Consider the following 12,761-nt stretch of genomic DNA (forward strand, 5'->3'; position numbering starts at 1 on the left):
ACCTTGGTGAATCTGACGATTATGTGTCTTGTGGTTTCTCTTCTCGAGGAGTGTCTTAGTGGTGTTCTCTGTATTTCCTGAACTGAATGTTCGCCTGTCTTGCCAGGTAGGGGCAGTTCTCCTGGATAATATCTTGAAGTGTATTTTTCAACTTGGTTATATTCTCTTTGTCAGTTTTAGGTACACCAATCAATCATAGATTTGGTCTTTTTACATAGTTCCATATTTCCTGGAGGCTTTGTTTGTTTTTTTTTTATTCTTTTTTCTCTAATCTTGTCTTCACTCTTTATTTCATTAAGTTCATCTTCAATCTCTGATATCCCTTCTTCTGCTTGATCAATTTGGCTATTGATACTTGTGCATGCTTCACAAAGTCCTCGTTCTGTGTTTTTTCAGCTCCATCAGGTCATTTATGTTCTCTAAACTGGTTATTCTAGTTAGCAGCTCCTGTAACCTTTTTTCAAGGTTTTTAGCTTCCTTGCATTGAGTTGAAACATGCTCCTCGCCTTGGAGGAGTTTGTTATTACCCATCTTCTCAATCCTACTTCTGTCAGTTCGTCAAACTAATTCTCCATCCAGTTTTGTTCTCTTGCTGGCAAGGAGTTGTGACCCTTTGGAGGAGAAGAGGCATTCTGGTTTTTGGAATTTTTAGCATTTTTGCACTGGTTTTTCCTTATCTTCATGGATTTATCTACCTTTGATCTTTGATGCTGATGACCTTTGGATGGGTTTTTTGTGGGTGTTCTTTTTATTGATGTTGATGTTATTCCTTTCTATTTGTTAGTTTTCCTTCTAACAGCAGGCTCCTCTTCTGCAGGTCTGTTGAAGTTTGCTGGAGGTCCACTCCAGACCCTGTTTCCCTGGGTATCACCATCGAGGCTGTAGAACAGCAAAGATTGCTTCCTATTCTTTCCTCTGGAAGCTTCCTCCCAGAGGTGCACCCACCAGGTACTAACCTGAGCTCTTCTGTATGAGGCGTCTGTCGACCCCTGCTGGGAGGTATCTCCTAGTCAGGAGGCATGGGGGTCAGTGATCCACTTGAGGTGGCAGTCTGTCCCTTAGCACAGCTCGAGTGCTGTGCTGGGAGATCCACTGCTCTCTTTAGAGCTGGCAGGCAGGAACATTTAAGTCTGCTGAAGCTGCACCCACTTGCTCCTTCCCTCATGTGCTCTGTCCCAGGGTGATGGGAGTTTTATCTATAAGCCCCTGACTGGGGCTGCTGCCTTTCTTTCAGAGATGACTTGCCCCGTGTGTAGGAATCTAGAGAGGCAGTCTGGCTACAGCGGCTTTGCTGCCCTGCGGTGGGCTCTACGCAGTCTGAACTTCCTGGTGGCTCTGTTTACACTGTGAGGGGAAAACCACCTACTCCATCCTCAGTGATGGCAGATGCCCCTCGCCCAACCAAGCTCGATTGTTCCAGGTCGACTTCAGACTGCTATGCTGGCAGCGAGAATTTCAAGCCAGTGGATCATAGCTTGCTTTGCTCTGTGGGGGTGCAACCTGCTCAGCAAGACCACTTGACTCCCTGGCTTCAGCCCCCTTTCCAGAGGAGTGAATTGTTCTGTCTCGCTGGGGTTCCAGGGGCCACTCTGTTAAAAAAAAAAAAACTCGTGCAGCTAACTCAGTGTCTGCCCAAACAGCTGCCCCATTTTGTGCTTGAAACCCAGGTTTCTGGTGGTGTAGGCACCCAAAGGAATCTCCTGGTCTGCAGGTTGCAAAAACCGTGGGAAAAGTGTAGTATCTGGGCTGGATAGCCCCATTCCTCACAGCACAGTCTCGCACAGCTTCCGTTTCCTAGGGGAGGGAGTTCACCGGCACCTTGAGCTTCCTGGGTGATGTGAGTCCCTACTCTACTTCCGCTTGCCCTCTGTGGGCTGCACCCACTGTCTAACCAGTCCCAGTGAGATGAACCGTGTACCTCAGTTGGAAATGAAGAAATCACCCTCCTTCTGTGTTGGTCTCGCTGGGAGCTGCAGACTGCAGCTGTTCCTATTCAGCCATCTTGCCAGATCCCATTTCTGATTTTATTTATTTGTATTTTCACTCTTTCTCTTAGTCTGGCTAAAGGTTTTTAAATTTTGTTTAATTTTTCAAAAAACCAACTTTTTGTTTCATTGATCTTTTTTTTTTATTTCAATTGCATTCATTTCTGCTCTGATCTTCATTATTTCTTTTCTTCTACTAATTTGCATTTGGTTTGCGCTTGCTTTTGTAGTTCTTTATGATGCATCATTGGAATGTTCATTTGAAGTTTATTCTCTTTTTTGATGTAGGCATTGGAACTATGAACTTCCCTCTTGGTATTGCTTTTGCTGTATCCCTTGAGTTTTGGTATGTTATATTCTATTATCATTTGTTTCAAGACATTTTTCAATTTTTTTTCTTAATTTCTTCATTGACCACTGGTCATTCAGTGGCCTTGTTTAATTTCCATCTATTTGTGTAATTTCCAAAATTTCTCTTGTTATTGATTTCTAGTTTTCCATTGTGGTCAGAGAAGATACTTGATGTTACTTTTTTTTTTTTTTTTTTTTAGTGTTTTAAAACTTGTTTTGTGAACAGATCAGTGTGTCTTGCTTTTTTCTTTTTTATTCATTCAGCTAGGTTATTTTCATTGGAGAGTTTTGTCCCTTTACATTCAATGTTATTACTGATAAGTAAGAACTCCTGCCATTTTGTTGTTTTCTGGTCTTCTCTTGCTTCTTTGCTTCCTGTCTTCGTTTAGTGAAGGTTCTTTTCTCTGGTGATATGATTTACTTTGTTGCTTTTTATTTTTTGTGTATCCTTTGTGTGATTTTTGGTTTGAGGTTACAATGAGGCTTGGAAATATTGTCTTATAATTCATTATTTTAACCTTATAACTTAACACTCTGCATAAAAAAACAAACAAGCAAAAAGGAAACTAACAAAAACTCTATGCCTTAACTTTGTCCCTCTGCTTTTTAACTTTATGCTGCTTCTATTGATATCTTATTGTACTGTCCGTGTCTTAAAAGTTGTTGGAGTTATTATTTTCGATTTGTTCATCGTTCATTCTTTCTACTTAATATAAGAGTAGTTTACATATCACTGTGACAGTGTTATAATATTCTGTGTTTTTCTGTGTACTTAATATTACCAGCAAATTTTGTACCTTCAGTTGATTATGTATTGCTAATTAGCATCTTTTTCTTTCTGGTTGAAGTGTGCCGTTTAACATTTCTTGGAGAATGTCTTGTATTGATGAAACCTCTCATCTTTTGTTTTTCTGGGAAAGTCTTTTTTTCTCCTTTATGCTTGAAGGATATTTTGGTCAGATATACTATTCTAGGTTAAAAGTTTTTTTTTTTTTCCTTAAGCATTTTAAATATATCATGCCACTGTCTCCTGGCCCATAAGGTTTCTCCTGAGAAGTCTGCTGTCAGATGTATTGGAGCTCCATAGTATATTGTTTGTTTCTTTTCTCTTGTGATTTTAGGGATTTTTCTTTATCTTTGATCTTTGGGAGTTTGATTATTAAATGCCTTGAGGTAGTCTTCTTTGGGTTCAATCTGCTTGGTGTTGTATAAACTTGTATTTGGATAACAATATCTTTTTTTTAGGTTTGGGAAGTTCTCTGTTATTATCGCTATGAATCAACTTTCTTCTGCTGTCTTTTTTTCTACCTCCTCTTTAAGGCCAATAACTGTTAGATTTACCCCTTTGAGGATATTTTCTAGATCTCGTAGGCGTGCTTCATCATTTTTTATTCTTATTTCTTTTGTATCCTCTCAATGTATATTTTAAAATAACCTGTGTCCAAGCTTACTCATTCTTTCTTCTAATCACTAATCCTTCGGTTCTGCTACTGAAGGACTTTGATACATTCTTCAGTATGCCAATTGCATTTTACAGCTCCAGAATTTCCATTTGATTATCCTTAATTATTTCAATCTCTATTAAATGTATCTGATAGAATTCTGAATTCCTTCTCTGTGTTATCTTTATTTTCTTTGAGTTTCCTCAAGGCCCTGGGGCTCTGAAGTCAACAGGTGGCAAAGCAAGCCAGGCCTGTGTCCTCCTACTTTATTGAGAGTTTTTAACATGAAGCAATGTTGAATTTTATTGAAAGCCTTTTCTTCATCTATTCAGATAATCATGTGATGCTTGTCCTTAGTTCTTTTTATGTGATGAATTGCACTAATTGATTTGCATGTGTTGAACCAACCCTGCATCCCAGGGATGAAGCCTACTTGATCATGATGGATTCGCTTTTTGATATGCTGCTGGATTCAGTTTGCCTGTATTTTGTTGAAGATTTTTGCATCTATGTTCATCAAGGATATTGGCCTGAAGTTTTATTTTTTGTGTTTCTGCCAGGCTTTGGCATCAAGATGATGCTGGCCTCATATAAATAGTTGGGGATGAGTCTTATGTTCTTAATTTTTGGAACAGCTTTTGTGGGAGTGGTACAGATTTTTTTTTTTTTTTGTACATCTCATAGAACTCGGCTGTGAATCAGGGCTTTTTGTTTGTTTGTAGGCTATTTATTACTAATTAAATTTCAGAGCTCGTTATTGGTCTTTCAGAGATTCAATGTCTTTTTTATTTTCAGTCTTGTGAGGTTGTATGTGTTCAGTAATTTATCGATTTCTTCTAGAGTGTCTAGTTTATGTGCATAGAGTTGTTCATAGTAGCTCCTGATGGTTATTTTTATTTCTGTGAGGTCAGTGGTAATGTTCCCTTTGTCATTTCTGATTGTATTTATTTGGATCTTCTTTCTTTTTTTCTTTCTTAATGTAGCTACTGGTCGGTCTAGTTTTTTCAACTTTTGGGATCATTAGTGTTTTGTATGTTTTTTGTTTTTTTGTATCTCAATCTCCTTTATTTCACTTCTGATTTTGGTTATTTCTTGTCTTCTGCTAGCTTTGAGACTGGTTTTCTCTTGCTTCTGTAGTTCTTGTAATTGTGATGTTAGGTTGTTAATTTGAGATCTTTTTAACTTTTTGATGTGGTGTTTAGTGCTATAAATTTCCCTCTTAACAATGCCTTAGCTGTGTCCCAGAGATTCTGGTTTGTTGTGTCTTTGTTCTCATCAGTTTCAAAGAACTTCTTGATGTCTGCTTTAATTTGATTATTTACCCAAGAGTGGTTCAGGAGCCACTTGTCTAAGTTCTATATAATTGTATGATTTTGAGCAATTTCCTTAGCCTTGACTTCTATTTGTATTGCATTGTGGTCCAAGAGTGTGGTTGGTATGATTTCTGTTTTTTTTTTTTTTTTTTTTTTTAGTTTGCTGAGGGTTGTCTTATGTCCAATTGCATGGTCGATTTTAGAGTATGCATCATGTGGCAATGAAAATAATGTATACTCTGTTGTCTTTTGGTAGAGAGTTCTGTAAATGTGTTTTAGGTCCATTTGGTCAAGTGTTGAGTTCAGGTCCTGAATTTTTTTGTTATTTTTTTTAACCTCAATGATTTTTTTTCATATTGGCAGTGGGGTGTTGAAGTGTCGCACTATTATTGTGTGTGAAACAAAGTCTCTTCATAGGTCTCAAGGAACTTATTTTATGAATGCGATTGCACCTGTGTTAGGTGTGTATAGATTTAGGATAGTTAGATCTTCTTGTTAAGTTGTACCCTTTACCATTATATAATGCCTTTCTTTGTTCTTTTTGATCTTTGTTGGTTTGAAATCTGTTTTCTCTGAAATTAGAATTGCAACCTCTGCTTTTTTTCAGTTTTTTTTTTTTTTTTTCTTAGTAGATTTTTCTCCATCCTTCATTTTGAGCCTATTGGTGTCATTGTATGGAAGATGGGTCTCTTGAAAACACCATACCATTGGGCCTTGCTTCTTTATCCAGCCTGCCTGTGCCTTTTAGTTGGGGAATTTAGCCCATTTCCATTCAAGGTTGATATTGGTATGTGTGGATTTTCTCCTGTCATTATGTTAGCTAGTTATTTTACAGACTTGCTTTTGTGGTTGCTTTTTATTGTCACTGGTCTATGTACTTAAATGTGTTCTTGAAGTGGCTTGTAATGATCTTTCTTTTTGATATATAGTGTTTCCTTCAGGAGCTCTTGGAAGGCAGTTCTGGTGGTAACGAATTCCCTAAGCATTTGCTTTTCTGGAAAGGATCTTATTTCTTGTTTGCATATGAAGCTTAGTTTTTCTGGATATGAAAATTTTGATTGGCATTTCTTTTCTTTAAGAATGTGGAATATTGGCTCCCAATTTCTTCTGGCTTGTAGGATTCCTACTGAGGCGTCCACTGTTAGTCTGATGGGCTTCTATTTGTATGTGACCTGACCTTTCTCTCTAGCTGCCTTTAGCATTTTTTCTTTCATTTTGACCTTGGAGAATCTCATGGTTATGTGTCTTGATGATGATCTTCTTGTGAATTATCTTGTGTGAGTTCTCTGCATTTCCTGAATTTGAATATTGACCTCCCTAGCTAAGTTGGGAAAGTTCTCATGGATGATATCTTGAAATATAATTTCTAAGTTTCTTCCATTCTCCTCATCTCAGGGATACCAGTGGGTTATGGATTTGGTCTCTTTACGTAATCTCATATTTCTCAGAGGTTTTGTTCATTCCTTTTCATTCTTTTTTCTGTATTCTTTTCTGACTGTCTTATTTCAGAAAGGCAGTCTTCAAGCTCTCAGATTCTTTCTTCCTCTTGGTCCATTCTGCTATTAATACTTGTGATTGCATTATGAAATTCTTGTAGCATGTGTTTTCAGCTCTATCAGGTTAGTTATATTCTTTTCTTTACTGGCTATTTTGCCTATCAGTTTCTGTAACATTACAGTCCACATTTCTAATGTTGTTTCTGTAATTTCAACCATCTCAGCCTGGTTCAGAACCCTTGCTAGAAGGCTAGTGTGATAATTTGTAGCAAAGAAAGCACTCTGGCTTTTTGAGCTGTCAGGTTTCTTGTGCTGGTTCTTTCTCATCTTTATGGGCTGATGTTCATTTAGTCTTTGAGGTTGCTGTCCTATGGATGAGTTTTTTTTTCTTTTATCCCATTTGATGACCTTGATAGTTTGTGGTATTTGGTGGGTACAGTCAACTTGCTTTGTTTCTGAAGATATTGGGGGGCAGGGCTCACTCTGATGGGTGGTGGCAGCCAGAGAATTTCATAGGGCTGTGGCAGTGAGATCTGTTCTTGTTCACATGTCCTAGCAGCAGTGGCAGCAGCAACATGGTGGGGTGCATGCTTGTTGGCTACCATAGGGCATTAACAGGTGCCAGGGTGCAGGCCTCCATATGGATGTTTGCAGAAGCAGAGGAGGTAGCATGCCTTGGGCACTGGGGAGACCCCTACTTGTTACTGTGCACCTGGTCATGCCAGTGTTGGTGTCAGCACACAGGTGGGGTGTTGGCAGAAGCAGTACTGTGTGTGCCCCCTTTGCACATTCACACAGGTGGAGGTGGCCTCTCAGGGTGGCAGAGTGTCCTCTGTTTTCTGAGCCTAGTTTCACTCCAGTGGCCATGTTAGCCCAGAGGCAAGATGCTGATATGAGTGGTGCTGACAGGCTCTGTGCCTGCAAAGATTCTGACTGCAATGGTATGGTTGGGGGATGGGAGGAAGAATGCAATCACACTGGCAGCAGTGGCAGTGCAAGGTGTACATACACACACACACACGCATGCATGCACACACATACGCTGGTGGGACAGAGAAGGCAAAGTCTGTCCATGCACATGCATAGTGGCAAAGCAATGTTGGGGTGGCCATGCTCTCGTAGGAAGCTGCAGTGGAGTGTGGGAGGGGACAGGTTGTTATGTGTCTGTGGGGGCCACTCTGCTGGAACTCTTTTCTGGCCAGGCATGGTTCACCAGTGCAAGAGCTACAATGTAGGCCCCCAGGGCACCTGAAGCCACACTGCAAGCAAGTGCAGCCAGGCTGGGGCCCTGGGAGAGGCCGGCAGACCAAGGGGTGTTCAGATTGGACTGGTTTTGTGTAATGGGCAAGAAAATTCTGTAGAGTTCAGGTATGACAGTTCCCCTAGAGCTAAAGTTTCCTATGGAAGCAAGTTGAGCCTAGGAAGATGGCCATCCATGGCTGCACTTCGCTATATTCCCACATCAAACCCTCTGGGCTCTACGCCAACTGGAGTGCTCCCTCCTACCACTTCTCTAATGGCTTCCCCTGCCAACTCAAGTGTCCGTGGTGGGAGAGGGGTCTCATCCTACCAGAATTCCAGAAGCCCATTGTAGAGCATGTTGCTTCTTGCCAGTTCAACTCACCCATTCTCCCAGAGTTGTTGGAGGCCAAGAACAAGTCCTGGTGCACTGTAGCCCTGTGCAGGGTTCCCAGCTGCCTCCTCCTTCAGCCAAGCTTCTGGTCTTTCCTCCATCCACTCTTAGTGCCGTACCTCTGAAGATCTGCTAGGAGTGCGCCAGTTGTCCCAGTCCCTCAGTGGCAGCTGGTTCACCTGGATGCATCTAGTCAGCCATCTTGCCCAGCTTCTCCAGTATTCTAATATTTTGTTTTGTCTATATGTTTACTTTTAGCAGTGGAGGTTTTATTTTCATTTATCTTTGGGCTGTTTTCTATTATCTTTTCATATCAACTTCAAAGGACTCACTTTAGCATTTTTTCATAAGGTGCATCTAGTTGTGATGAACTCTCTCTGCTTTTGTTTATATGAGAAATCATTTCTCTTTCTATTTAGAAAGACAGTTTTTCTGGATATAATGTTATTAGTTAACAGGTTTTTTTTTTATTACTTCAAATCTATGATATCATTCCTTTCCGACCTGCAAGGTTTCTGCTGATAAATCTACTGATAGTTTTATGGGACCCTCTTGTATGTCATGAGCCACTTCTTCTTTAAAAATTTTCTCTTTGTTTTTGACATTTGACAATTTAGTCATAATGTAGTCAGTTTGAAGCCCTTTGGTTTCCTATTAGTTGGGTTCTGTTGGGCTTCTTGAGTCTAGATGTTCATATTCTTTCCCAGATTTGGGATATTTAGGCTATTATTTCTTTAAATAAATGTTTGTCCCTTTATGTCTCTTCTTTTTCTTTTAATATCATAATGTGTATATTGATTCACTTGATTGTGTCCCATAAGTCCTTTTAGACTTTCTGCACTTCTTTTTTATTGTTTTTGTTTCTCTGACTAATAATTTCAAATTACCTGTATTCGAGTTTGTGGCTTCTTTCTTCTGGTTGATCAAGTGTGATATTGAAACTGTCTAGTGAATTTTTCAGTTCACTTATTGTATTCTTTAGCTCAAAATTTTCTGTTTGGGTGTTTTTATGTTTTCAGTTGATTTGTTATTTTCATTTTATTTATGTATCCTATTGTTCTGAGCTTGTTGAGCATCCTTATGATGGATATTTGAATTTTTTGTCAGATAATTCATATATCTCCTTTAGGGTCAGTTCCTGGAGACTTATTTTGTTGTTTTGGCTTTGTGCCATGTTTCCTTGTTTCTTTGCTTGCTTTGTACCTTTATGTTGGATCCATGCATTTAAGAAAATGACCACCTCACCAAATCTTTATAGATTGGCTTTGTGCAAGGAAAGACCTTCACAAATCAGCCTAATTAGAGATTTTGAGGTCCTCTGAGACATTTTATGTGTATATTTCTTCTCTGGACTTGTATATGCAAATTTTCAATTAAAGAGATTTATTAGTTCACATCTCTCTTTAGTTCTTAGTTTCCCCCAAGCTTCTAGAGTGTACTGAACCATATCAGTGCTTTTAATCTAGTAAAATAATTGAAGTCTGTTTTAAAGTAAAAGAAGTTTCTTGGTCAGACCCCAAAAAGCTATAATGTTGAACATACACTTTACTCTTCTGTCTCCCCTCCCTGAGGGAGAAGCCTTTGAGCTGTGTTAACATCTGTCTTCTCTACTGCATATCCTGTGGAATAGCAGCAAATCACTTACATCTCTTTTGTTTTCAGCATCCCCCAGACATCTAGACTATGCCAGTCCTGTCTGCCTTCTGAGAGAGATGAGAAAGAAACCCATTTCTCAAGCAGTCCCCCCAAAAAGACAGAATGTGGGACACATGCCACAACTTTTTCCCTTCCTAGAGAGAAGCTGAGAATTGGGAGTTTTCACCCTCTCGTTCTATGCCGAGCTGGGAGGAGGGAGTATGGTGAGTGAGTGCTTTTTGCCTAAACTTTTGCCCTTGTTCTCAGTAGCCTTCAACCTAGCACACTTTTTCACGAGTCTCCAGATACAGGGAAGACAGAAATTACTTCCTCAGCCTTCCCCCTAAAAAGTCTTCATGTTGGACGTATGTTTCAGCCTTCTTCTTTTTCTCTCTAGGAAGAAGCCAAGAATTGGGAGTTTTCTGCTGATGATGCTATGCTAAGCTGGGCAGAGAGACCATGGCGAGTGAGTACCATGAATTTTCCTACCAGCTTCAGTGTGGCTGATTTTAGCTTGCCTGTGATGCAGGAGCCTTTTAACTAGTTTCTGGATTTCTCTTGAAGGGAATCGATCTGTGTATTTTTGCTTGTTGACTTGGTGTCTCCTTTGGAGGAAGGAAGTTTTCTGACTTTATCTATTCTGCCATCTTCCTGACATCACCAGTCTCTATTTTATTATTTGTTTTCTTTTTGTTTCTTCTTCTCTTCTTTCTTTTTTTTTTTTCTTCAAGGTCTTGCTCTATCACCTAGGCTGTTGGAGTGCAGTGGTGTGATCAGAGCTAACTGTAGCCTTGAACTCCTGGGCTCAAGTGACCCTGTAGCTAAGACTACAGGCATGTGCCACCATGCCTAGCTGATTTTTGTTTCACTTTTGTAGAGATCAGGTCTCACTATGTTGCCCAGGCTAGTCTCAAACTCCTGGCCTCAAGCAATTCTTCCACCTCAATCTTCCAAAGCACTGGGATTACAGGAATGAGCCACCATGCCTGGCTTGTTACCCCTGTTTCTTGTTATTATTTAAATACTATTTCAGCCCCACATTCTTTCTCATCTCCTACTGGGATTCTGATGATAACACAGTTGTCCTGTCTTTTGTTATTGTTCCACAGATCCCTGAGGCTTTCTTCTTTTTGTTTCTTTTTCATGCTATTTTCTCTTTGTTTGGATTGAATAAGTTTTGTTGATATATCTTTAACTTCACTGATTCTGTTCCTCACCTCTAATCTAGTATTGAGTCCATCTGGTGAGTTTTAAATTTTATTTTGGCTGTTGTATTTTTTTAATTTTATAATTTACATTTGGTTCTTTTTTAAAAATAAATAATTCCTATATCTTTGTTGAGATACTCTGTCTGCATTTGTTTAAAGATATTTTTAATTACTTGTTGAAGTACTTTTATGAAAGTTAACTTTCTTATCAGTTTTAACTTTCTTATCAGGTGACTCCAACTTCAGAATAATCTTGGTATTAGTATCAGTTAATGATCTTTTCTCAGTCAAATTGTAGTTTTCCTAGTTCTTTGCATAAGGAATGATTTTCCATTTTATCGTGAATATTTTGGTTACTATTTTAGGAATCTCTTGATTCTTGAATCTATTTTAGCAAGTAATGATCCTGTTTAGGTTTAGAATATAGGTTCTGGCCTATTTTTTGTGGGTCTTAGGTCTAATCACAGTTTAGTTTTCAGAGCCATTCTGATGTGTTTTGTCTTTCTGATGGTGCTGCAGCACCCATTTATTCCCTACTAGTGCCATCTGCCATGGCACAAAGCACTCTGCTGGGCTACCGGGTGTCATTGAGCCACCTTATCCTGCAGGGGATGAGACAAAAGCTACTGGCACTGAGTCTTGTGTCAATTAATAGAAGACTAAGAGATGGTGGTGCCCTGGGTTTGGAATGGAAATTGGGTGGACCAGCCCTTCTCTGCTTCCACTGCAGGTAGACCAGCCTGCAAGCACTACAGGTGTTGAGCCAGGGTTGGGTTGGACTGCTGGAGCTTCACTGCTACTCCTGTGAGCTGTCAGTGTCCTAGTTGTGGATCAGGAGTTAAGATGGCCCATCAGGGTTCTGAAGCTACTTATGTGGGCAGATCAGCTCACCTGTTGATGACCTCATTGTGGGTGGAAGCTGGATTTTCCAGGAGCTTTGCAGCTGCCTCTCTGTGCAAATCAGGTTATTCTCGGGTACCTTGGCTGTAGAACAGGAGTTGGGGCTCTCCACTAGGTCTCTGTTGGGCTTTTTACTAGAACATAGGCCAGAGAAGGCAAGGTTAAATTTGTTTTTGTTTTTGTTGTTGTTGTTTATGCCTGTTGGCAGTTCTGGATTGCAGGTCTCCCCAGTGCCTAGTCTGGGATATTTAGGAGGTAAAAAGAAAACTCAGGGAACTCATAGCATTCTTGTTCCTCACATCTTTAGGTTGCTAACTCATATAGTTTCTTACCATATTTCAGAGTCCTTTTATTTTTTCTGTTCAGTAATTTCCAGAGTGTTTAGTTGAATTTAGAGGAAGGTAGCATGGAAAAGTAAGTTCACAACATCTTGTTCCAGAGATTCTGGATATATATTAATGGTGAAACTAACAAGATTTGGTGATGGATTGCATTTTGAATGTGAGAGAAAGAGATTCAAGGGTTGTTCCAAGGATTTTATCCTAAGCAATAAAGTTAGTGGTGGCAGCATCTACCAAGAAGGGAGACAATGGAGGAAGACCAGGTTTGATGGGACTAGGGCTGGGAATTAATGTTAAGTTTGAGATATGTGAGTGATAATGTCTATTACACAGTTGGATTTACAAATATGTATTTCAAGGATGGAGATATAAATTTAGAAGTAATCAGATTATAAATTGTAAATACAGCTGTGAGACTCAGTACAATGACTTTAGTGAATAAGTATAGATAGAGAAT

General features: G+C 39.5%; 1 protein-coding gene across 14 annotated transcripts in view; it reads left to right on the plus strand.

Moving 5' to 3' along the window:
- ZC3H12B (zinc finger CCCH-type containing 12B) overlaps nucleotides 1–12,761 on the plus strand; it is a 473,062-nt gene that overhangs the window by 30,766 nt on the left and 429,535 nt on the right. For 9 of the 14 annotated variants that reach the window (NM_001010888.4, XM_047442075.1, XM_047442077.1 and 6 more), the window contains exon 2: nucleotides 10,253–10,321. The gene's annotated coding sequence lies outside the window, so the exon portion shown is untranslated. Of the gene's footprint in view, nucleotides 1–9,882; nucleotides 10,080–10,252; nucleotides 10,322–12,761 lie in introns of all 14 variants that reach the window. The other 5 variants (XM_017029479.2, XM_017029480.2, XM_017029481.2 and 2 more) reach the window with 1 other exon arrangement.

Source organism: Homo sapiens, chromosome X (genome assembly GCF_000001405.40).
Source record: "Homo sapiens chromosome X, GRCh38.p14 Primary Assembly".
Taxonomy (NCBI): Eukaryota; Metazoa; Chordata; class Mammalia; order Primates; family Hominidae; genus Homo; species Homo sapiens.